This window comes from Homo sapiens, chromosome 22 (genome assembly GCF_000001405.40).
Source record: "Homo sapiens chromosome 22, GRCh38.p14 Primary Assembly".
Lineage (NCBI taxonomy): Eukaryota > Metazoa > Chordata > Mammalia > Primates > Hominidae > Homo > Homo sapiens.
The window spans coordinates 37,634,265-37,658,433 of NC_000022.11; the positions used below are offsets into that span (position 1 = coordinate 37,634,265).

General features: G+C 56.6%; 1 protein-coding gene and 1 long non-coding RNA gene across 3 annotated transcripts, besides 6 other annotated features; one reads left to right on the plus strand and one right to left on the minus strand.

Annotated features, from left to right (window-relative positions):
- Positions 74 to 163: an enhancer, noted in NCBI's record as "active region_18984". NCBI's record gives its function as "activates an Ori minimal core promoter by ATAC-STARR-seq in GM12878 lymphoblastoid cells {active_cell/tissue: GM12878}" and the evidence as "EXISTENCE:reporter gene assay evidence [ECO:0000049][PMID:35858748]".
- Positions 4,078 to 4,372: a silencer, noted in NCBI's record as "tiled region #10481; K562 Repressive non-DNase unmatched - State 14:Gen5'". NCBI's record gives its function as "represses a minimal TATA promoter and a strong SV40 promoter by Sharpr-MPRA in K562 cells {active_cell/tissue: K562}" and the evidence as "EXISTENCE:reporter gene assay evidence [ECO:0000049][PMID:27701403]".
- Positions 5,003 to 5,152: a silencer, noted in NCBI's record as "silent region_13689". NCBI's record gives its function as "represses an Ori minimal core promoter by ATAC-STARR-seq in GM12878 lymphoblastoid cells {active_cell/tissue: GM12878}" and the evidence as "EXISTENCE:reporter gene assay evidence [ECO:0000049][PMID:35858748]".
- Positions 5,183 to 5,622: a silencer, noted in NCBI's record as "silent region_13690". NCBI's record gives its function as "represses an Ori minimal core promoter by ATAC-STARR-seq in GM12878 lymphoblastoid cells {active_cell/tissue: GM12878}" and the evidence as "EXISTENCE:reporter gene assay evidence [ECO:0000049][PMID:35858748]".
- On the plus strand, positions 5,405 to 21,853 carry SH3BP1 (SH3 domain binding protein 1). 2 transcript variants are annotated; one of them, NM_018957.6, is made up of 18 exons: positions 5,405 to 5,582; positions 6,862 to 6,904; positions 7,110 to 7,214; positions 8,275 to 8,351; positions 8,631 to 8,742; positions 8,834 to 8,910; positions 9,380 to 9,524; positions 10,373 to 10,441; positions 10,606 to 10,696; positions 11,101 to 11,246; positions 12,554 to 12,665; positions 13,003 to 13,084; positions 13,177 to 13,257; positions 14,055 to 14,171; positions 15,888 to 15,985; positions 16,278 to 16,461; positions 19,515 to 19,609; positions 21,008 to 21,853. In NM_018957.6, the coding sequence occupies exons 1-18, from the start codon at positions 5,524 to 5,526 to the stop codon at positions 21,418 to 21,420; spliced, it is 2,106 nt and encodes a 701-aa protein (NP_061830.3). In that variant the 5' UTR covers positions 5,405 to 5,523; the 3' UTR covers positions 21,421 to 21,853. The 2 variants fall into 2 exon arrangements, with proteins under 2 accessions (NP_061830.3, NP_001336984.1); NM_001350055.2 differs by having other exon boundaries at positions 21,662 to 21,853.
- Positions 7,568 to 24,113, minus strand: PDXP-DT (PDXP divergent transcript). The gene is made up of 6 exons (NR_109952.1): positions 23,991 to 24,113; positions 16,067 to 16,448; positions 15,590 to 15,661; positions 14,059 to 14,158; positions 9,363 to 9,497; positions 7,568 to 8,700 (listed from the first exon to the last, which is right to left on the minus strand). It is a non-coding gene; the product is annotated as a PDXP divergent transcript (long non-coding RNA).
- Positions 24,016 to 24,085: an enhancer, noted in NCBI's record as "active region_18985". NCBI's record gives its function as "activates an Ori minimal core promoter by ATAC-STARR-seq in GM12878 lymphoblastoid cells {active_cell/tissue: GM12878}" and the evidence as "EXISTENCE:reporter gene assay evidence [ECO:0000049][PMID:35858748]".
- Positions 24,096 to 24,145: an enhancer, noted in NCBI's record as "active region_18986". NCBI's record gives its function as "activates an Ori minimal core promoter by ATAC-STARR-seq in GM12878 lymphoblastoid cells {active_cell/tissue: GM12878}" and the evidence as "EXISTENCE:reporter gene assay evidence [ECO:0000049][PMID:35858748]".

Consider the following 24,169-nt stretch of genomic DNA (forward strand, 5'->3'; position numbering starts at 1 on the left):
AGTAGATGAGCCCATACAGACCCTGGGAAGTCCCTCATTTAAGAAGCCATTTTCACTTTGTCTAATCTAGTGTTTCCCAATCTGAACTTGGCCGCTGAACCCTTCTCCTTAGATATAGTTGTGACATGCTGGAGAATTGCCCAGCACACCCGCATCCCAGCGTGTGTGCTCTTTAACACTCATCAGCAAGCAAGGGGCCCCTCTCTGCTGGGCCCACACTGAAAGCGCAGGCTGAGAGCTCCTCCATGTCCGCCTTACTGCTGAGGGGACAAGAGGCATTAGCTGCACCCTGCGGGAGCCTCCTATCAGATCCCTACAGTGGGACTCCCACCCTGGCACAGCCCTCCAGACAGAGGCTGGCCCCTGGAGGCTTCCAGACACCCTGTCCCAGCCACGTGGCCTCGTTCCTGTTCCCCTTCCCTACCCTGCAGGACTCGCCTCCACACTTGTGATGTCTCCTGAAGATAACTCCGGTTGGAAGTTTCTTCTACCTGAAATGAAACCATAACCCCTGCAGCATCCACTTGGGGTGCCAGAGTCCCACCTCCAGCACAGTCTTCATTACTGGCCATGGCAGGGAGGAGTACAGGTTGGCATGGGGAACAGGTGGGACTGTGAGCTGGGAGTCTGGGGGCTGGTTCTGGCTGGGTCACTGGCTTGCTGTGTGATTTTGAGGAAGATGCTTTCCTTTCTGGAAAAGGGGAGAGGGACTCAATGAGCTATAAGGTCCCTCTGAGGAGTCCTTGGACAAAGGAGCCAGGCTGTCAGCTTTGGAGTGACCCAGGATATTCCGGGGACGGGAAGGTGGGGTCCCTTCAGCCTTTGGACCTTGTCCCTTGCCTTGTCCTTAACCCACCCATCCTGTCAGTCATGCCAGTGTTTCCTGAGCAGCCCCTGGGCCAGCCCCTGTCCTAAGAGTTCACAAGCTGGCAAGGACTTGGGAGCCAGTGTGGCACCCTGAGAGCAAAGACATAAGGTACCACAGAAGCCCTGCATCTGTCTGAGAGTCTGGGGTGGGTTCTAACCAGAGGAAAGGACCCTGGGCCTCCACTCCCTGGAGGAGTCCTTCCCCAAATACCGTGTTGCTGCACAGAGGTCCGGGCCACTGCGCTCTGCAGTCTCAGGGGCTGGGATGCAGTGCACTGGGGAGGCGTGTGCTCTGTCTCTTGAAGGGTGACCCCCAGTGCCATGCCAAGACCAGTGGGACTTCCCAGATCTCGAAGCCCCACTTCCATTTCTGTTGATTTGGCCGAGGCACCAGTTAATTTTGGTTTTCAGCAACCGCATCACACTGTTCGTCTGTTTATGGCAGCCAGGAGAAGTGGCAAGGGCCTGGGAGCCTGCTCCTGCCTAGTCGGTTTTTTGTTGTTGTTGTTTTTACGGAGTTTCGCTCTTGTTGCCCAGGCTGGAGTGCAATGGCACGATCTCGGCTCACCGCAACCTCTGCCTCCCGAGTTCAAGCGATTCTCCTGCCTCGGCCTCCCGAGTAGCTGGGATTACAGGCCTGCGCCACCACATCCTGCTAAGTTTGTATTTTTAGTAGAGACGGGGTTTCTCCATGTTGGTCAGGCTAACTCCCACCTAAGGTGATCCACCTGCCTTGGCCTCCCAAAGTGCTGAGATTACAGGCGTGAGCCACCACACCCGGCCCCCAGTCAGTTTTTTGGTTTTTTTGTTTGTTTGTTTGAGGTAAGGTCTCTCACCCAGGCTGGAGGGCAGTGTTGTAAACACAGCTCCCTGCAGCCCTGACCTCCTCGGCGCAGGCAATCCTACCCTCTTAGCCTCCTGAGCAGCTGGGACCACAGGCGCGTGCCACCATGCCCGGCTAATATTTTTATTTTTTGTATAGAGTTTCGCCAGGTTGCCCAGGCTGGTCTGGAACTCCTGAGCTCAAGCGATCCACCTGCCTCAGCCTCCCAAAGTGTTGTGGTGAGCTACTGTGCCTGGTCTGCCTGGTCTCTCGACATACCCCCTCCCCCAGTCTCTCTGGGCCTTGCAACCAGGGCACCAGCCCAGCAAGGCAGGCAAGAGGAGCCCCCGGACCTGATGCCTATAGCCTCCCATCTTAAGCCTCTGAAATGCCCTGTGAAATGGGAAGTGAGGCTCAGAGAAGTCACACATTATGGGCTGAGTCTGGGCCAGCAGTCTTGAGGTGTCTACCAGGATGGCACATTGCCCCATACCTCCCAAGTCCTCCCCCCAGCCTCTGTCGGGCTGTCCTCTGGGGCTGGGCTCAGGGTACACACTCCTCCAGGGCTATCAGGATTAAAATGGAGTTCTCAGCCTTAGGGCCACCCCAGGATTTCCTGGAAAGTCCTTTGGGCTTGGGGAGGGAGGTGAGGGAGTTTTTAGAGCCCCAGAGATCTCACTATGCCCCTAGCTGCTCTGGGTGGAAGTCCACACAGAGGGCAGCACCGAGGGATACTACAAACAGGCAATTTGTCAAAGTGTCTAAAATGGGATGTTTCTGCTCCTGCAGCCCCTGCTTCCGACCCCCGTTACCACCACCACTCAGCTGCTGACCTCCCTGCCCACATCCTGCTCAAGCCTTACTAGCACATGCTACCCAGACTGTCCCAGGCTTTCACAGACAAATCTGCACAGAGGCTGCCAGGCCCTCAAAGCAACCACAGGGGTTAAGGCAGAGCCAAGGGCCAGCATTTCTGGAGCTCCCAGGCAAGGCTGTCTGGGTCTGGCACAGCAGGAGAGCCCACGTGGGCTTAGGAGACTGTCAGATCTGTTTCCTAACTTGGCCTCTACCACTTTTCCAGCTGGGGACCTTAGGCCAGGGGCCTTGGGCTATTCACCTGTAAAATGGGGACAGTGATACCACCCTCACTGGAGGATATGCTATAGCACAACAAAAAGTCCCATTGTCCTAAGGCAGCTAGACACACACAGGGGTCGTTGGGGCAGGAATGGGGGTAAGGGGTCTTTCCATTCCTGACTTGGCAAGCTGAATAATGATGGTAACAAGAAACAACGCAAGGCACTTTATAAGCATCTTGCATCTATTAATTCACCTAACGCTTCTGTGAGGTAGGTACTATTATTTCCAATTTACTGAGGAGGATGCTGAGGTTCAGAGACGTGAAGTGTCCCACTTAAGGTTACCCAGCTAATGACAGCCACAGCCTGGCCAGCTAGCCTCCTCCACACCCTTAAGCTCTCTCTGTTCCTGCTGCCTGAGCCACTGTGACAGGCACACTGCCGGGTCCCAGAGGCTTTAGCAGGAGCCAGCTAAGACCAGCCTGGTAGAGAATGACCCAAGCCAACAGGCCCCTGGATTGGGGAAGGGCCCCACGAGGGGTTGGCTGGGGAGCTCTGAGGTACCCCTTCTGTGTCTGCAGTTTAGAAAGGCCATGATCCCAACACCCACTGATCAAAACTTCTGAGTCCGTAAGTCTCTGATTACAATTCCTTCTAAGGAACAGCCTATAACCCTAACCCAACCTTTGGGGAGTCCATCCTTCTATGATTCAACATCCAGGTGTGACAAGGGAGGGCCTAAAATCTACCCATCACCCAGCTAGGAGGCACAGCAGCCCCACCCGAATCCGACTCAAAGGCCCAGGGTGTCTCTCCTGCCCAGGACCCTTAGGTCTGGCTGGAGGGGAGTCTGGAGACCAGGGCAGGAGCGCGGGGCAAGAGCTCAGTTAGACTGATAATATGGCTCAGGTAGTTTCCACCACAGCTGCGGCTACAACCCACGTGTACTGACCCCTCACCAGGCCGGAGCTGGGGCTCAGGACTGGGCAAATCTAGGAGAGACAGAGGTGTAAGCCAAACCTTGCCTTCAAGGACTTTCAGACCAGCTACAGAACCAGACAAGCCCAGGCCCGGTGTGGTCTGGGCTGGAGGCTTGGCTGGAACAGAGCAGGGGCACCACATAGTCCAGAGACTTCCCGAGGGACAGGAAGGATGGCACCTGAGGTTCCCTTGCCATGCCACCCATAGTCACTGGCCAGCAGCCTTCCTGTTGGGAAAAGGGAGATGGGGGAGGGAACCTTGCCTGACATCTCATCCTGGCCTGAGCTTTGATCTTGGAGCCTCCCAACTTCCCACCAGGATTCCACACTCAGGTGGGCTCCCATCTGGGAGGCTCTGGCCATAGCAGGCAGCTGTTGGGTTCCCTTCTCAGCTCCTCCCACCCCCAATGAGTCCTGCCTCATTAGGGAGGAGAGAAGCAGCCAGTGAGTGTGCCAGGCCCTGGGCTAGGTGCTGGGAGTATGGAGATGTGTGGGGCCAAGGTCCTGCCTCTGAGAGGCGCCCAGTCTGCACCGGCACACAGTCTGCACCGGCACACAGTAGTGGCTCAAATAGTCTCAAACTAAACTGAAACTAACAAAGCAAAGTGCAGAGGGTGTGGCAGGACTCTGGGGCACACCCTCCCCTCTTCCCCACGCCTGCGGCTCCTGATGCCACAGGGGTGCAGGGTAAGGAGAGCCTACTGTTTCCTAAAGGCGCTCACATCTTGTAAAACCAGCAGTTATGGAGCACTTACTGTATGCCTAACTCTGTGTTGAGTGGAGGGCCAAAGAGGAGAACTACTGAGTTTGGGGGCAGTCAGAGCAGCACCTACATCATTGCCCTACAAGAAGGAAGGGGGACTGAGGCTGTTTGCCAGGAGGAATGAGAGGAGACGGGCTTCACAGATGGAGCAAACTGCCAGGAGATGTGGAGAACAGGGTGTCGCGAACCGCTCTGGGAGGGTTCCTGGTGGCTGAGGGGTGGCACGCACCTCCCTTAAAGGGAGCTGGCAGGGGTGTCTTGTCCACTCTGCAGAATGGGCAGGCCCAGGACAGCTGGCCCATCAGACCATTAGAAACAGCGAGTCCGGAGTTCCAGGGGCTTGTCCACGGCCACACAGCAGCCCGTGGCCCCAGGAAGCCAAAGCTCCCAGCCAGTCATCCAGTGGTGGGGGGTTTAGTTCCAGGGGGCCAGAGGTCCTCTGCGGAAGAGAGTGCAAGGCAGTATCCGCGGCAGGCCCAGAGAGGCCAGGACAGGTCAGAAAGGCCTACCCCTCTTTCGCTTGGTACCCTTTCCTCTTTGCGAGGGATGCAAAGGTTATTTATACTTCGGGTCTGCAGGCTGCGGGTGGGGCAGGCACCCCGCCTGGGGCGGGTTGCGGGCGCAGGGGCAGGAATGGGCTTACCTGCTTCCCGCCACCGGGGCTGGGCGGGGCGCTGCGGGGAGGAGGAGCCGGGCACAACCTGTGGACGGCCGCGGCCGGCGGACACACAGCAGCGGGGGCCCGGCCGGGGGTCGCCCGGGGGCCCGGAAGCCGGGGAAGAGCGAGGAAACCAACTTGGAGAGAGGAGTGACCTGGGGGCCGGGGGCGGAGTCGTGAGCGGGGGAGGAGAGAGCCGGCCGCCAGCAAGAGCCGCGCGGCGGCCCAGGAAGCGAGAGCGCCGCCCACCCATCCGGGGCAAGAGCCGCGCCGCAGGAGAGGCAGGCTGGACCGGGGGCTCCCCGGGCCCGCGACCCCCGCCGTGACCCCGCAGCCCCCAGCTCGCCCCCAAGATGATGAAGAGGCAGCTGCACCGCATGCGGCAGCTGGCCCAGACGGGCAGCTTGGGACGGTGAGTGTCACCCGCTTCCAGCCCCACTCTTACCCCGGCAGGACTTGAGGGGTCGTAAAAGGGTCGGGGGAGACGGGGGTGGGGGAGGCTGGGGACAGCTGGGCAGCCACCCTCTGAGCGGCCAGACTCCTGCTCTCTCTTCCTCCTCTCTGAACGCCGCCCCCGTCTCTCGGGCAGAGCTGGAGGAGCAAGGGTGGCCTTTGGGGGAAGGGATGCCCCCCCTTACCGGATTGGAGGGGGCTTCAGGCGGGAGAATGCTCTCTGCCCTAGGACGCTGGGACTTCTCTGCCTCCACGAGTCTCTAAGTGGATGGTCCTCCTGACCTCACTTGTCCCCTCTGGACAATGGGACAGTTCACCACCTCTGCTTGCTGGGCCGGGGAGGGAGGAGGGTCGATTAGGGCCACAGACCTGGGGCGAGGGGAGGAGATGGGTCCTGGCCTGGTGGGAGGAGGGGCCTGCCCCTGGCCTGCAGCGTCCCTCCCCCTCCCCCTCCCCCCAGCCCAGGGGCCTCCTGCTTCTGTCTCGTTTCTGCTTTTCCTGGACTCAGGTGGAAATATCCCCAGGTCTCCCAGCTCCCACCCCCAGCCTCTGAGCCGGTGGCACGGAGGCCGGAAGTTTGGGGAGCCTCTCAGAGCCTGTCTTCTCTGCTCCTCTTCCCCCAGCCTCAGGAGTTCCCCATTCTCTGGGTCCAGGGAGGGGACTGGGTGTCCAGAGACCTGGTTCTAGTCTCACACTGGCACAGATGCCTACATAGCCTGGACAGTCAGACCACCTTGCAGTGGGCCTTGGCATCCCCCATGTGTCCCCAGGTGGGGGCCAAGGGCCTGTGCACCCCTGCCCACAGCTGTAGTCCAGAGTGCTGTGTGACTGTGCCTAGGAGTCTGAGCTCCTGCACTTCCCGTTCTTGGGGCCAGCTAATACTCCTCATCCCGGGGTGGGCTGAGGATTTGGGAGTGGGCAGAAAAGAGGCTTCTGTGTCCCAAAGCTGGGCCCCGGGTGGGTCTCTCAGCCTCCCCTTTAGTTTCATCTGTCCGCCCTCTCTCAGGACACAGCCCTGGGTGGAGGAGGAAAAACCCATGTATCCTATTCCCACCCCCATGGAATGTGCTCCGACTGGGATGAAGCAACTGGGCCACCCAGGGCAGGCCTCAGCTGGGAGGGACAGTGGAAGCACTGGGGTCCAGGTGCCCTGCTGCGGGGAAGGGAAGTAGGGGGCGTTCTAACCCAGGCAGGCTCAGCAGAAGCACTCTCCCCCCCCCCCCCACCACTCCCCGCAGCACCCCGGAGACCGCTGAGTTCCTGGGTGAGGACCTGCTGCAGGTACGTGCCTGGGCCGGGCAGGTGGGAAGGCAGGCCTGTGCAGGCTGTCTCGGAGCAGAGGGCCGGGGCGGGGACGCCAGGTAGGGGCCTGGGTTGAGTCATTCCTCAAGCTGTTGGCCATGGGGTCCCCAGGGGACAGGAGAAAGTTTCCTGCTCAGGGGGAGACAGCCTCTCTTGATCCTTAACCTCCATACCTCCTTCCCAGGTAGAACAGCGGCTGGAGCCGGCCAAGCGGGCAGCCCACAACATCCACAAGCGGCTGCAGGCCTGTCTGCAGGGCCAGAGCGGGGCAGACATGGACAAGCGGGTGGTGAGTGGGGGGTCCCGGGAAGGAGGGGCCTGAGCAGGAGACTTCCATCCAATGGGGAAGCAAGGTCGGGGCTGGGGTTTCCTTGCCAGTCTGAGTGTCTGGCACCAAGGGCATGGAGACTGCTCTGTTCCAAGGCCCCTCTGGCACTGCACTCAAGAGGCCCTATACCTTCCCCATCACCTTTACCCCACTTCCCTGTGCACCAGTTCCCATAAGCCAAGGCCAGGCTTCTGACAGCACCTGAACTTCTCTGTCCAATCAGTGCGCAAGAGCAGGCTGTCAATGGGGCGGCCTCAGAGGGTTTCCTGAAGGAGGTAGCAATTGAGCTGGCTTTTGAGGGATACACGTTTATTAATCAAGAGGCAGCGTTTATTGGCTGATAACCGCCAGCTTGTTACTAACATATGAGTGCACTGTCTCATGGAACACTGGCACAACCCTAGGGGCAGGCATTGCTTTACACATGAGGAACTGGAGGCTCAGAGATAAAGTCACTTGTCCAAGGTCACATAGCTAGTAAGTGGCAGAACTGAGGTTTGAACCCTGGTCTCTGATCCCAGAGCAGGCATTCCCCGTAACTCCAGATGGGGTGGGAGTGTGGGGCCATGTTTTGGAATCAGTTGACAATTCAGTGTGGCCAAGGCAAGGAAATTGGGAGCCATAGAGCGTTTGAACTCAGCGGTGGCTAGGTCAGCCATATATACCCTGGGACAGGGGAAAGAGCTCCCGCTCCCATTCTCCCTCCACCTGTGTGACCTGGGGCAAGCTCCCTGCCCTCCCTGCATCTTAGTTTCCCAGTCTGCAGTAGGACTTGGTCATTCCTTCCTGCCCAGTCAAGTGGCTTCTGGGAAGAGGAAAGGGCACGCCAGATGGAGAGGGGCTCCATCCATGCTCTCAGGGAAATGTCACCCCCACCACGCCTTGTCATCTTGTTTCCACTCTCATCTGGGACTGTGGCCCTCCTGGGTTCCCTCCTCCCCTGCCCCAAGGGGCTGGCCTGGTGCTCAGGCAGGGTGGAGGGAGGCACGGACACTCATCGCCGGCCCCACCCTCCCTGCAGAAGAAGCTTCCCCTCATGGCTCTGTCCACCACGATGGCTGAGAGCTTCAAGGAGCTGGACCCTGATTCCAGCATGGGGTGAGCACAGACGGGGCCCAGCCCTCACCTGGGGATACCAAGACGTGATCTCAGCTGGGAGGGGGTCCAGGTGGTGAGGGCATCCACATCAGAAGAATGACCAGGCTGGGGACAGTTCCCAGGTCAGTGAGGGTGGCCAGGCCTGGGAGGGTGTTCAGCTTAGCAGAGATGAAGGATATCTAGGAGGGGCCGGAAGTGAGGGAGGAGAGGCCCCACCAAGTGTTTCCAGTGGAGGTGAGGGCAGCGGGCGCCTGGACCCATGGGGTGCCGTGTCCACAGGAAGGCCTTGGAGATGAGCTGTGCCATCCAGAATCAGCTGGCCCGCATCCTGGCCGAGTTTGAGATGACCCTGGAGAGGGACGTCCTGCAGCCACTCAGCAGGCTGAGTGAGGTGAGCCTGTGCCCTGCTTTCAGCCCCCAGCTTCCCCAGCTTCTGGCTCCCTCCTCCCCCAGCACACTGACCCCCCCATGCCCATCCCCAGGAGGAGCTGCCAGCCATCCTCAAACACAAGAAAAGCCTCCAGAAGCTCGTGTCCGACTGGAACACACTCAAGAGCAGGTGGGAGCCCCAGCCGCTCAGGGGGCTCATATCTGGGTCAGCCCACAGAGATGGTCATAGAGCTTTGAGGCCCTGGCCACACCAGGAGGATGCTGTGGGGTCTGCTGAGTACAGTGTGTGTACTTGTGCACGCCTGGTCCCTAGGAGCACAGGTGGTTAGCGTATCTGTGAGGGTGTGCCCGCGTGTGTCACAGCTGGTGCTGGGGCAACCCTAAAGCCTGGGATCCTGTAAACAGTCCTGCGGCAGCCCTGTTCTCCCCTCTGTGGAGTGGCTGTGATCACCAAATCTGCCACCAGGGGGCAACCCAGAGCACTCATGGCCCAGCCTGGGCAGAGGCCCCGGCCAGTGGAGCTCTCAGATCTGCAGCTCTAAATCCTAGAATCCCATGTGGTCTGCTGTATGGAGGGGACACTTGGCTCTGGACATGCAACAGGGCAGGTGACCAGCTCACCTTGGGATCATCTCCAGGCTCAGTCAGGCAACCAAGAATTCAGGCAGCAGTCAAGGCCTAGGAGGCAGCCCGGGTAGTCACAGCCATACGACCATGGCCAACAAGGTGGAGACGCTGAAGGAGGAGGAGGAGGAGCTGAAGAGGAAAGTGGAGCAATGCAGGGTGAGGGCCATGGGGGTCCCCTGGATATGTAGGGGTGGCAGGGGTGGGTCCTGGCCCATCTCACAGGCAAGGAAGCTGAAGTTCAGAGAGGTGACATGACTTGCCTAAGGCCACGTGGCTAGGAGCCAGCAGAGCTCCGCCATTCCCTCGTAGCCTCTTCTGTCTGTACCCCATGCATAACTTGGGAAGGCAGAGACTTGGTCTGTTCCCTGAGTCTCCATGTGTTTGTTTGCTGAGCGAGCGAGTGAATGAATAAATGAAGAGTGAATGAAAGAATGACTGAATGGTGAATAACAGGTCACTGTGCAAGGCCAGGCGCGGTGGCTTACGCCTGTAATCCCAGCACTTGGGGAGGCCGAGGCAGGCGAATCATGAGGTCAGGAGTTCAAGACCAGCCTGGCCAACATGGTGAAACCCTGTCTCTACTAAAAATACAAAAACTTAGCTGGGCGTAGTGGCGGGCGCCTGTAATCCCAGCTACTCAGGAGGCTGAGGCAGGAGAATCGCTTGAGCCCAGGAGGCGGAGGTTGCAGTGAGCCAAGATTGCACCACTGCACTCCAGCCCGGGCAACAGTGTGAGACTCCGTCTCAAACGAAACAAAACAAAAAACAAGGCACTGTGCTAAGTCTATGGAGACACAGAGATGGGGACGAGAAGCCAGAAAAGTTTGAGGGAGTTCCCAGGGGCTGGCCCCAAGCACCAACCTTGGCAGAGAGAGGAGCCTGGCTGGGACCTTCCACCTGCAGTTGTGTGGCCTGGGGGAGGTCACCAACCCTTCCAAGCCTCCTCTTCCCCTCTAGACCCCACAGCCTCACCCAACGTAAGCTCTCCCCTCTCTGTCCCCAAGGACGAGTACTTGGCTGACCTGTACCACTTTGTTACCAAGGAGGACTCCTATGCCAACTACTTCATTCGTGTGAGTCCAAGACCGGGCCCCAGCCATCCAGAGTTCAGGGGCTGAATGCCAGAGCCAGGGGCCACTGGGGCTCTAAGATGGTGGAGGGGGCGTCTGCTCTCAAGGACCCTATAGAAGGCTCAGCTTCCCCCACTTCCGCTCAGGGTGTCCCTTCATCCCCACAGCTCCTGGAGATTCAGGCCGATTACCATCGCAGGTCACTGAGCTCGCTGGACACAGCCCTGGCTGAGCTGAGGGAGAACCACGGCCAAGCAGGTGGGGACATAGGCCCGGCGATACCACACCCCTGACCCTGCCCTGCTCGGGGCTTATTGAGAAGCTCGCACTTCATCCTGAAAGGTAGCAGGAAGCTGTGGATGGGTTCTGAGAGCTAGGCTCAATCTGTGATGGAGAGGCAGCTCTGGCTACTGTGTGGAGGGTGGAGTGAAGCGGGCAGGACTAGAGCCAGGCCTGTGAGGCAGAAGGAGGCAACGGTGGCCTGGACTAGGACAGAGGCAGTGGAGGCGGGCTGATTCGAGAGATGTGACGGATGATTTCAGATGTGTGCCTGGACAGTCAGTGGCAGGTGGTACCACCTTGAGGACATGAAGGGGGGGTGCCCCTGCCTGACTGCTCGGGGTGGGAAGGCCCTGGGCCGCTGATCTGTTTCATCCCTGCAGACCACTCCCCTTCGATGACAGCCACCCACTTCCCCAGGGTGTATGGGGTGTCGCTGGCAACCCACCTGCAAGAGCTGGGCCGGGAGATTGCCCTGCCCATCGAGGCCTGCGTCATGATGCTGCTTTCTGAGGGCATGAAGGAAGAGGTGGGGTCCCCTGGGGCAGGTGGGGAAGGAGCACTGGGGCCCTCATTCTGTCCCAAACCGCCCACTTGCTGCCCTTTCCGGGTGCCTGTAATTCCCTCATTCGAGCCCAGCTCCCTGGGAGAAGACATGACTGCCTCCTGCGGCATCCACACTACCTCCCCCGTGTCAATGCTCGCGTGGGCCAAGCGCTGTACTAGAAGCCTTTGCATTCCAGGCTCCATTTCACAATTTCACAAGAGGGAGACAGAGGTAGAGAGGTAACCATGCCCAGAGTCATTTGAGAAGGTGACTTCTCAAACCAGGGGCTCCACTGCCACACACTGGCTGGATCTGCTGTGAATACATTGCCCCCCTGTCCTGAAGATAGACCCTAGTGGTGGCAGATACCCCAAAACAGTTCTGCGCTGCTCAGCAATCCTGCTGTGCTGGGGCCTCCTTTCTCCCTTACACTTTTTTTTTTTTTTTTTTTTTTGAGATATGGAGTGTTGCTCTGTTACCCAGGCTGGAGTGCAGTGGCGTGATCTCGGCTCACTGCAGCCTCTGTCTCCTGGGTTCAAGCGATTCTCCTGCCTCAACTTCACAAGTAGCTGGGACTACAGGCATGCACCACCACGCCCAGCTAATTTTTGTATTTTTTAGTAGAGATGAGATTATGTTGGCCAGGCTAGTCCTGAACTCCTAACCTCAGGTGATCCACCTGCCTCAGCCTCCCAAAGTGCTGGGGTTGCAGGCATGAGCCACTGCGCCCGACCCTTTTTTTTTTTTTGAGACAGGATCTCGCTCTGTCACCCAGGCTGTAGTGCAGTGGTGCGATCCTGGCTCACTGCAACCTTCACCTCCCTGGTTCAAGCGATTGTGTCTCAGCCTCCCAAGTAGCTGGGATTACAGATGCCCACCACCATGCCCAGCTAATTTTTTTTATTTTAGTAGAAATGGGATTTCACCATGTTGGCCAGGCTGGTCTCAAACCCCTGGCTTCAAGTGATCCACCTGCACAGGCCTCCCAAAGTGCTGGGATTACAGGCGTGAGCCACTGCACCCGGCCCCTCCCTTCCACTTCTGACTGGGCTTCCATTTCCCCATGATTTTTCCCGCCTCCTCCCAGACTTCCCAGCCCTGCCCTTTGCTCAGAATTCTAGACCTTGAAGGTTGAAGCCCGTGGACACCGTGGTGCCCACACTGCCAGCCAGACCAGCGGGGACACAGGCCTAGCAAAGGCCAGTGGCACACCCCAGGCTACAAGTGCGCCAGGGTGTCCTGCCCTGCCCACCCCTCTGTGACCCTTGCCTGCCTCCTCTCGAACCCAGGGTCTCTTCCGTCTGGCTGCTGGGGCCTCGGTGCTGAAGCGTCTCAAGCAGACAATGGCCTCGGACCCCCACAGCCTGGAGGAGTTCTGCTCCGACCCGCACGCTGTGGCAGGTGCCTGATCCGGGGAGCCCTGGGCAGGAGGTTGGGGGGGAGGGGGTGCAGTGGCTTGAAACGATCCCAAGATAGCCTGGCTTTAAGACTTGATATTCTGTTGAGACTGAGGACACTCGGGTTCTTAATGTGGGGTCCATCATGAGCCCCCCGAAAATGTTTGGCATTTTTCTGGGGACAAGATGGCTAGCCTTCATTTTCTCAAAAGGGCCTACAGCCCAAAGAAACTGTCAGACCTAGACACGTTAGTGTGAACAAGGGCCGGAGGTTCCTTCTACAGGGAGAGTGGGAGAGCGGGTGGGGGCTGCCTCTGACCCTCCCCACACCCCTCCTTCAGGTGCCCTCAAGTCCTATCTGCGGGAGCTGCCAGAGCCTCTGATGACCTTCGACCTCTATGATGACTGGATGAGGGCAGCCAGGTGAGGATGTTGGAGGAGGGAGGGGATGGGGAGGAGGAGGATGCAAAGGTGTAGCCCTGCGCTGGCTGACAGGTCTCTCCACTCCCCCCCAGCCTGAAGGAGCCAGGGGCCCGGCTGCAGGCCCTCCAAGAGGTGTGCAGCCGCCTACCCCCCGAGAACCTCAGCAACCTCAGGTGAGCCCGAGCCCGCCTCCCCAGCCTGCCGCAGAGCCAGAGCCCAGCTGAGGTCACGGACCCTGGGACCCTGGGCTTGAGCCTGGCCTTGCCACTGTATCCTAAGAAATATTACTGAAAATGCAGCTTTGATGGATTAGTCATTTATATATATAATTTTTTTTTTTTTTCTGAGACAGGGTCTCACTCTGTCGCCCAAGCTGGAGTGCAGTGGTGCAGTCTTGGCTCACTGCAACCTCCGCCTCCTGGGTTCAAGCAGTTCTCCTGCCTCAGCCTCCCGAGTAGCTAGGACTACAGGCGCCTGCCATCACACTCGGCTAATTTTTGTATTTTTAGTAAAGGTGGGGTTTTACCATGTTGGTCAGGCTGGTCTTGAACTCCTGACCTCAGGTGATCCACCCGCCTCAGCCTCCCAAAGTGCTGGGATTACAGGCGTGAGGCACTGCGCCCAGCCGGATTAGTCACACATTTTTATGCGAAGCATTGAAATAAATGAGACCTTGAACTTTTGAAGCCATACCGCCTGGCTTCACATGCCACCTCTGGGCAGGCCACTCAGCGTCATCATCTGGAAAATGCAGACTGTAACAATCTCTACCCTGTAGGGTGGCTGCTGAGGACTCAGCTTGGCTCAGTGCCCACTGCAGGGTTGGCACTCAGTGGATAAGCTGATTTAACTGTGACAATGTTAAGACCATTCTGGGCGGTGTCTTTCACACTCTTTGGAAACCCTGGGCTGGAGAATTCTCAGGGCTGGGTGCGTTCTGCCCCTGGCCTAAGCCTGCCTCCGCCCTTAGGTACCTGATGAAGTTCCTGGCACGGCTGGCCGAGGAGCAGGAGGTGAACAAGATGACACCCAGCAACATCGCCATAGTCCTGGGACCCAACTTGCTGTGGCCACCTGAGAAAGAAGGGTGAGGGGCCGCGGGCTGGGGGAGGTGGCAGGAGGAAGGCAGATCCCATCCCAACTATCTGTTGTCTATTTTTCCCCGGGGCCTTGGTGTCCCCATTTTTGGAGTGGGTTGAGCAGCTCCTGTTTTTGAGGCTGCCGTGAGGAACAGGCCAAAGGGGCTGTGCAGGCCACAGGGCTTTGGAGAGAGGCAATTCTGGCATTTTGGCCAGTGGTGGTGATGAGGTGTTTAGTGGCATGGGGGAGCTGGGAGCCCAGAGATCGGGTTCTTTTTTTTTTTTTTTTTTTTGAGATGGAGTCTTGCTCTTGTTGCCCAGGCTGGAGTACAGTGGCGCAATCTCGGCTCACTGCAACCTCCGCCTCCCGGGTTCAAGCGATTCTTCTGCCTCAGCCTGCCAGGTAGCTGGGACTACAGGTGCGCACCACCACTCCCGGCTAATTTTTTGTATTTTTAGTAGAGACAGGGTTTCACCGTGTTAGCCAGGGTGGTCTCGATCTCCTCAGCTCGTGATCCACCAGCCTCGGCCTCCCAAAGTGCTGGGATTACAGGTGTGAGCCATCGCGCCCCAGGTGTGAGCTGCCGCGCCTGGCTCGATCAGGTTCTACTAATAGCTCCACCCCTCCACCTTCCAGAGATGGGCCTGAGGAAGACACCCTCAGAACCTCGATTTCCTCATCTGTAAATTGGGGAGAAATCATACAAACTTTGAGGGCTTTTGCTTTGGGGAGTGAGTGATATGATGAATTGGAAAATGTTTTAGAAACTGTGAAGTGCAAGCCAGGTCCAGTGTCATGCCTGTAATCCTAGCACTTTGGGAGGCCAAGGTGGGAAGATCACTTGAACTCAGGAGTTTGAAACCAGCCTGGGCAACTTAATGAGACCCTGTCTCTACAAAAAATTAAAAAGATTAGCCAGGCATGGTGCACACCTGAAGTCTCAGCTACTCAGAAGGCTGAGATGGGAGGACTGCTTGGGCCCAGGGAGTCAAGGCTGCAGTGAGCCATGATGGAGCCACTGCATTCCAGCCTGTGTGACACAATGAGACCCTGTCTCTAAAAATGAAGAAATAGGCCGGGGGCAGCGGCTCACAGCTGTAATCCCAGCACTTTGGGAGGCCGAGGTGGGTGGATCACCTGAGGTCGGGAGTTCGAGACCAGCCTGGCCAACATGGTGAAACTCCGTCTCTACTAAAAATACAAAAATTATCTGGGCGTGGTGGTACGCGCCTGTAATCCCAGCTACTCGGGAGGCTGAGGCAGGAGAATCTCTTGAACCTGGGAGGTGGAGGATGCGGTGAGCCAAGATCGGGCCACTGCACCCCAGCCTGGGTGAGAGAGCAAGACTCTGTCTCAAAAAAAAAGAAGAAATAATAAAATTAAAGTGTAAAGTGCAGTGCTATGTGAGGAGTCATCATTATTTACCTGGCCACAGATGGCAAGATTTCCTCCCACGTGCTGATTGCATTTGCTTGGTAGAGGCTGTCCAGATCACAACTATGAGGAAAAGGGTCCTTGATTAATTAGTGATGTCTGTCAGGGTGAAGGAAGGGGGACATTTGGCATGTGAGTGACACATTTACCATCAACTGGTGGTTTGTGGGCTTTTTGAGAACAAGGACTCAATATGATGGATCCTTGTGTCTCCATTGCCCAGCACAGAGCCAGCCAGAGAGTTGGGGTCACAAACCCTTTGCTGAGCAGATGCATCTCTTTGTCCCAGGGACCAGGCCCAGCTGGATGCAGCCTCCGTGTCTTCCATCCAGGTGGTGGGCGTCGTCGAGGCGCTGATCCAGAGCGCAGACACCCTCTTCCCTGGAGGTGAAGCTCCTGCCTGCATGGACGCCCTGCTGGGTGCCCTCCTTCTGCCCTGCTCCCTCCCCTGTAGCCCCACAAACTCACCATAAGTCCAGGAGGAAGTCTGAGCCTCAGTTTCTCATTTTTACAACGGGGATGGTCTGCCTGCTTTGTGGGGTGGTGGTGAGGCTCACACGGGAGTGGGGAAGCTGAACATGGTCCAGATGGGTTCAGGGGAAGGGGAAACGGTCCCGGCCAGTGGAGTGAGGAGCCTGGCGCGGTCTCTGAGAGCCGTCTCCGCTCCTTCTGTCTCCAGACATCAACTTCAACGTGTCAGGCCTCTTCTCAGCTGTTACCCTCCAGGACACAGTCAGTGACAGGCTGGCCTCTGAGGAACTTCCGTCCACTGCCGTGCCCACCCCAGCCACCACCCCGGCTCCGGCTCCGGCTCCAGCTCCAGCTCCGGCCCCAGCCTTGGCTTCAGCAGCTACCAAGGAAAGGTGAGGACTGAGGGGCTTGAATGGCTCCTGTGGTACTCCCACAATCAGCCTGCCTGAGGCGCCATGTCTCAGAGCTGGAAGCTGAATTTTTGGAAATGTAATTATTAGTGTTTTCATCCCAAAGACCGGATCTCCTAGTTTGGAGAGGGTGGGGCAGAGACTCAGAGGCGGAATTTGTCTCAGCCACTGATGTGTGCCCTATTCATCATGTAGCAATTTCCTGAGCACCTACTATATGCCAGGCTTTGTTTCCAGTCCTAGGGAACTCAAGAGATGATCATTTTGGAATCTATAAATACCTTCCAGTTTTGTTTTGTTTTTTTTTTAAGACAGAGTCTCACTCTGTCGCCCAGGCCAGAGTGCAGTGGCACAATCTTGGCTCACTGCAACCTGTGCCTCCCAGGTTCAACTGAGTCTCATGCCTCAGCCTCCCGAGTAACTGGGATTACAGGTGAGTGCCACCACACCTGTCTAATTTTTGTATTTTAAGTAGAGATGGGGTTTCGCCATGTTGGCCAGGCTGGTCTTGAACTCCTGGCCTCAAATGATCCACCCACCTTGGCCCCTGAAAGTGCTGGGATTACAAGTGTAAGCCACTGCACCCAGCCTCTTTTTTTTTTTTTTTTCTGAGATGGAGTTCACTCTGTTGCTTAGGCTGGAGTGCAATGGCGAGATCTTGGCTCACTTGCAGCCTCCCGGGTTCAAGCAATTCTCCTGCCTTAGCCTCCCGAATAGCTGTGACTTCAGGCGTGCACCACCATAGCCGGCTAATTTTTGTATTTTCAGTAGAGACAGGGTTACCCCATGTTGGCCAGGCTGGTTTTGAACTCCTGGCCTCAAGCGATCCGCCTGCCTCAGTCCCCCAAAGTGCTGGGATTACAGGCATGAGCCACAGTGCTTGGCCACCGTCTTCTCTTTGATCGTTTAAATCTGGAAGGGCTTCGTGGTACCGTGGTGCCTCCATACCAAGCAGCTACTATTCAGGATACCACAGAGCACTGCGGCTCACACCTTGAATTTCCTGATGAGCAAGACAAATGCTCACATTTCAGGGCACAGGGAGAGAGAGAGACAGCATCAAGCACAGCCACCAGTGCGTTCTCTCTATAGTGTCAGGTGGAGAGGCGCTGCTAAGGGAGGGGGAGCAGGTTAAGGGGGAGCGTGGGGGCTACTTTAGCTGTGGGGCCAGGAAAGACCTCGCTAAGGAAGAAACGACCAAGCAGAGACCCGAAGGCAGTGAGGAATGAGCCTAGGACCCCCTCTGCTTCTCACCCACTCTCTGGCTTCCAGTGGCCAAAGCATCTCATAAAGATCACGTGGCCCGGCACGGTGGCTCACGCCTGTAATCCCAGCACTTTGGGAGGCCGAGGCAGGCGAGATCGAGACCATCCTGGCTAACACGGTGAAACCCCGTCTCTACTAAAAATACAAAAAATTAGCTGGGCATGTTGGTGGGCGCCTGTAGTCCCAGCTACTCGGGAGGCTGAGGCAGGAGAATGGTGTGAACCCAGGAGGCAGAGCTTGCAGTGAGCCAAGATTGCGCCACTGCACTCCAACCTGGGCAACAGAGCGAGACTCCGTCTCAAAAAAAAAAAAAAAAAGATCACTTGGAGGCAGATTGGGCAACATAGCAAGGCTGTGTCTCTACAAAAAATAAATGAGGTCGGTGTGGTGGTGCACACCTGTGGTCCCAGCTACCCAGAAGGCTGTGGTGGGAGGATTTCTTGACCCTAGGAGGTCGAGGCTGCAGTGAGCAATGATTGTGCCATTGCACTCAGCCTGGGCAACAGAGTGAGATCCTTTCTCAAAAAGAAATGGCCAGGTGTGGTGGCTCACGCCTGTAATCCCAGCACTTTGGGAAGCCAAGGCAGGTAGATCACGTCAGGTCTGGAGTTTGAGACCAGCCTGGCAAACATGGTGAAATCCCATCTCTACTAAAAATGCAAAAAATTAGCCAGGCATGGTAGTGCGCACCTGTAATCCCAGCTACTCGGGAGGCTGAGGCAGGAGAATGGCTTGAACCGGGGAGGCAGAGGTTGCAGTGAGCCAAGATCGTGCCATTGCACTCCAGCCTGAGCAACAAGAGTGAAACTCCATCTCAAAAAAAAAAAAAAAAAGAAAAAGAAATGGCCGGGTGTGGTGGCTCACACCTGTAATCCCAGCACTTTGGGAGGCTGAAGCAGGTGGATCACTTGAAGTCAGGAGTTTGAGACCAGCCTGGCCAACATGGTGAAACCCCATCTCTACTAAAAATGCAAAAAATTAGCAGGGCATGGTGGCGCACGCCTGTAATCTCAGCTACTCAGGAGACCAAGACAGGAGAATCCCATGAACCCAGGAGGCGGAGGTCACAGTGAGCCAAGATCATGCCATCGCACTCCAGCCTGAGCGACAGAGCGAGACTTCTCAACAACAATAACAAAAAAAAACAAGCCTAGGTGGCGCACACTTGTAATCCCAGCACTTTGGGAGGCCGAGGTGGGCAGAAGATCGCTTGAGACCAGGAGTTCAAGAACAACATGACAAAACCCCGTCTCTACTACAAAAAAACAACAACAAAAAAATCTGGGCATGGTGGTGTGTGCCTATAATCCCAGCTACTCCAGAGGCTGAGGCAGGATAATTGCTTGAACTTTGGAGGTGGAGGCTGCAGTGAGCCAAGATCGCACCACTGCACTCCAGCCTGGGCGACAGAGTGAGACTCCATCTCAAGAAAAAAAACCACATGGAGGCCCTGAGCTGAGGCAGAGGTCAGGCCCTATGTCCCACCTCCCATCCTGGCCCTACCTACCAGGCAGGTGGGGCTCCCTCCTGGTCCCTAGAGGAACATGGACTCTGTCACAGGGTCACAAAGCAGCCAGGGGCTCAGTGGATGCAGACCCCAACCAATGCCAGAAGCATCTTCTGGGAGGGGTGCGTGGCATGGGGACAGAGTGATAGAGAGCGAGTGCTGGGAGGATCCGGACTCCACCTGGCAGCTGGAGACTCCTCAGGATTCCATGAGACTTCTGGGAGGTGGCTAAGTCTGCCCCATCCTCTCCTTCCCTCTGCAGGACAGAGTCTGAGGTGCCTCCCAGACCAGCCTCCCCCAAGGTCACCAGGAGTCCCCCGGAGACAGCTGCCCCAGTGGAGGACATGGCTCGGAGGAGTGAGTTGGCTGTGGGAGGGGAGGAGGGGACAGAGGGTGGGCGGGGAGAGGGGACAGGCAGTCCCAGGTCCTCCTATCTTTTTAGGCAGCCAGGGGAGGCCAGGAGTCAAGGTGATAAAGAGCCCAGGTCTTGCCACCTGGCACTCTGGGTTTAGATTTGACCTTGGGCAGGTGAGTTCACCTGTCTGAGCCTCACCTTCCTCCTCTGTGTAATGGGACAGTGTCTGCACTTACCTTATGGGGCTGCATGGAGCCTGCAGTGGTGCTGCAGGAAGAGTGCCTGGCCCTGGCACACAGCACGTGCCCACTAAGGGGGAGCCGGCGTGAGTACTGGGGTACTGGAGTCCCGTCCCTCCAGAAGCCCAGAGGTCACAGACTACAGTGGAAGGAGGGAGTCTTCAAAGGGCAGTGAAGGGGCTGGGCACAGTGGCTCACACATGTAAACCCAGCACTTTGGGAGGCTGAGGCGGGTGGATCACTTGAGGCCAGGAGTTCAAGACCAGCCTGGCCAACATGGTGAAACCTCACCTCTACTAAAAATACAAAAATTAGCTGGGCATGGTTGCGGGTGCCTATCATCCCAGATACTTAGGAGGCTGAGGCAGGAGAATCACTTGAACCCGGGAGGCAGAAGCTGCAGTGAGCAAAGATCACGCCACTGCACTCCAGCCTGGGTGACAAGAATGAGACTCTGTCTCAAAAAAAAAAAAAGAAAAAAGGCAGTGGCAGTGAAGGAGAGGAGGTGGCAGGGGTGGGAAGAAACCAGGGGCCTCCTTCTGAGCCCCTCTGGCACACTCACCTGTCAGTTTGGCCCAGAGCTGACCAGGTGAGAGAGTGACTGACACTCAGTGGAGGCAATGAGCAGTGGACAGCCAGGAATAGGCGGAACAGCTCTGGGAGCCTCGTGACCAGGGCTGGTAGGTAGTCTACAGTAAAATAAAAATGAACAAGATAGGCCGGGGACAGTGGCTTACACCTGTCATCCCAGCACTTTGAGAGACCGAGGCAGGAGGCTAGCTTGAGCCCTGGAGTTCAAGACCAGCCTGGACAACACAGCGAGACCCTGTCTCAAAATTTAAGAACTTTTAAAAATTCAAAATAAATGGGCAAGATAATTTCAGAGAACAAAAAGTCCTGCGAAGAAAATACATCTGGAAAATGTGACGGAGCAGCTGGGGTGGGGCATGGGGTGGGACTCTAACTAGGGTGCTCGGGGAGGGCCTCCAAGGGGGCAAAGGGCACAAGGAGAGGCCTAGACGATGAGGAGCCAGCCGCAGAAACGGTGTTCCCGGCAGAGGGAACAGCAGATGCAAAGGTTGTGAGGGGGCACGGAGCTTGGTGGATTCACCACAGGCCACGTGGACACTCAGCCTCCCTCACCCTTTCCTTCCTCAACAGCCAAGCGCCCGGCGCCAGCCCGGCCCACCATGCCGCCCCCCCAGGTCTCCGGCTCCCGCTCCTCCCCTCCAGCCCCGCCCTTGCCCCCTGGCTCTGGCAGCCCTGGGACCCCCCAAGCCCTGCCCCGACGTCTGGTTGGCAGCAGCCTCCGAGCCCCCACAGTGCCACCCCCGTTACCCCCCACACCCCCTCAGCCTGCCCGGCGCCAAAGCCGGCGTTCACCAGCCTCCCCCAGCCCGGCCTCCCCAGGTCCAGCCTCCCCCAGCCCAGTCTCTTTGAGTAACCCTGCACAGGTGGACCTGGGGGCTGCCACAGCAGAGGGAGGAGCCCCTGAGGCTATCAGTGGGGTCCCCACTCCCCCAGCTATCCCCCCTCAGCCCCGCCCCAGGAGCCTTGCCTCAGAGACCAACTGAGTGGCTGGTTTCTCCCTAAGCAGCCCTCAGCACCCCCTCCCTCCCCACCTGGCCCTCCCAGGACAGCTCTCGCCCCCCACAAAGGGGCATGGGCCTCCAGCCTTTGCCCACAAGTGCCTCAGTGCCCACTGGGTCGGCCCCCATGGCCAGGAGGGCTCAGGACAATCCTCTATTTCCTGACCTTTTCCTCGTCCACCCTGGGCTTGGGGACCCCCCCACCGGACTCTCCACTCTCCGGCAGGTCCTAGGGGAGCCACCGGAAGGAAGGAGAGGTTTGCCTGCTCCTACGGGACTGATTCTTCTCTTGCCGACATGTTTTTTGTAAGGCTGGTAAATAAATTATTTTGGACAAAACTGGAGCAGCTGCCCAAATGATAGTTTTATTTTCTGTCCTTGAAATAAAGAAGCCAATTTTATAAAGGGGAAAACAATACATATTCTTTGCCTCCTTTCTTCCTGTCTGAAGTGAGATCACAGCAGACATTTTTAGAGCTTTCTCTGCACTACATGCTGTGCTGTTCTGTGGATGATTTCCACTTAATCTTCTCCTACTGCAGGAAATACCATTACCTCTTAGCAGTGAGGAGACTGAGGCCCAGACAGAAGTGACCTGCCAAGGTCACACGGCAGTCAGGCAGGGGCCTGGGATTAGAGCCTAGGTCTGACTCCAAAGCCTGGCTTGTCCCTCACATTCTGGGCAATTTACTTAACTTCTTGGTATCCCTTTTCCTCATTTGTGAAACTTTATAACAATTCCCTCCACAGAGGTATTGCTCTCCATTGAAAACCAAAGCACCACCCTTGGCCCACAGAAGCCCCTACCGCTCCCACTGTTTCCTGGACCCCTCACTCTCCTTCCGGGAGGAGGCTGGGAAGCCTCCCCAAGGAGCAGGGATGGATCTGTCCTCAAACCTTCCCTAAATCTGCTCTGTGCCAGGCCCTGAGCTAGCTCCAAGACTTAACCCTACACCCAAAGAGTTCCCAAACAGACAGGCAGAAGCAACCATTAGAATCAAGTGTCTGGCCAGGCACGGTGTCTCATGCCTATAATCCCAGCACTGGGAGCCTGAGGCAGGAGGATCACTTGAGCCCAGGAGTTCTAGACCAGCCTGGACAACATAGTGAGACCCTGTCTCTACAAAAAAAAAAATTTTAATTAACTGGGTGTAGTGGCGTGTGCCTGTAGTCTCAGCAACTAGGAAGGCTGAGGCAGGAGGATCGCTTGAGCCCAGGAGTTGGAGGCTTCAGTGAGCAGTGATCATGCCACTGCACTCCAGCCTGGGTGACGGTGTAAGACCCTGTCTCAAAAACAAAAAAAATCAAGTGTCATTGCACTGGGAGCCCATATTAGCCAAGTTAGGGGTGGCCATATAACCTAGACTCATGGTATGGGGTGGGTGGTTAAGAACGGCTTCCTGGAGAAGGTGATATTTAAGGGAAGTCTTTCAGGAGCTGACCTGAAGGTGAATTTTGTTTATTTTTATTTATTTTATTTATTTTTTATTTTTTGTTTATTTTTTTTTGAGATGGAGTCTCGCTCTGTTGCCCAGGCTGGAGTGCATTGGCACGATCTCAGGTCGCTGCAAGCTCCGCCTCCTGGGTTCAAGCAATTCTCCTGCCTCAGCCTCCCGAGTAGCTGGGACTACAGGCACCCGCCACCACGCCTAGCTAATTTTTTTCTTTTTTTTTTTTTTTTTTTTTGTATTTTTAGTAGAGACGGGGTTTCACCGTAGCCAGGATGGTCTCGATCTCCTGACCTCGTGATCCGCCCACCTCAGCCTCCCAAAGTGCTGGGATTACAGGCGTGAGCCACCGAGCCCGGCCCTGAAGGTGAAATTTTTAAAGGAAAAAGGAACATTCAGGCCAAGGAGACTATCTATGCAAAGGCCAGGAGCAAAAGGCTTAGGGCACTTGGGGAATAGGAGCTAGTTGAGCTTCCAAGGTTGGGTACAAGGTACAGTTTTTCCCAAGTCGTTGGAGCTCCAGTTGCTCCTGGGGGTCACAGCCTTATCTGAAGTTGGCAGACAACTTCAAAACTGTGACACCACAGCTCACAATTCATTCATCCCCACACTGCAGACCAGTGGCTCCTCAAAGGTCCCAAGACCTGTGGTTGCTTCCAGATCACAAGGCCTCCTCCCTAAGACAGGGACCCAGCCAACCTGGGTCACCCCATTACTATTCTGGGCAATTGGCCACGACCATTCTGGATCCTGCCCTCCCGGGGCGTGCTGCAGTGACAGCCTACCAGCCTCTAGCCCAGTGCTTCCCTACCCTATCCTAGCTCACGGTAGAATCCCTGGAATTAAACCAACTAACCAACAAACCAAAAAATGCCCAGTCTTCACCCAAAACACTTACATGAGGATCTGTCCTGCTACACATCGGTGATTTCAAAAGCATTTGTCAAGACATTGAACTGTACATTTAAGATCTATGCATTTTACTATATGTAAATGATATCTGAAAATAAGTTCCCAGGGGACTCTAACGCAGTGTGAAGAACTACTGGTCTAGACCGAGGGCTCCAGCACCCAAGAAGACACCATGTGCCTCGTACCCCATCGTACACACACGTTTCTTGGGACTTCGCTCTGAACTGGAGCGTCCACGATTCAGGGGGCAATGAGATTCGACCCAAAGGCAGTTCATTTAACATCTGTTTTTCTCCCAGCAACCAGCTCGCCTAAGCTTCTGATTGGCTGGAGGGCACGGGGCCTTTCGCTTCGCGTTTTGTTTGTAGATTCTT

Coding starts and splice junctions, on each gene's coding strand:
- SH3BP1 (NM_018957.6), top strand. CDS start 5,524: ATGATGAAGAGGCAGCTGCACCGCATGCGGCAGCTGGCCCAGACGGGC. Junction 7,215..8,274: donor CAGACATGGACAAGCGGGTG/GTGAGTGGGGGG, acceptor CCCTCCCTGCAG/AAGAAGCTTCCCCTCATGGC. Junction 8,352..8,630: donor GACCCTGATTCCAGCATGGG/GTGAGCACAGAC, acceptor CCGTGTCCACAG/GAAGGCCTTGGAGATGAGCT.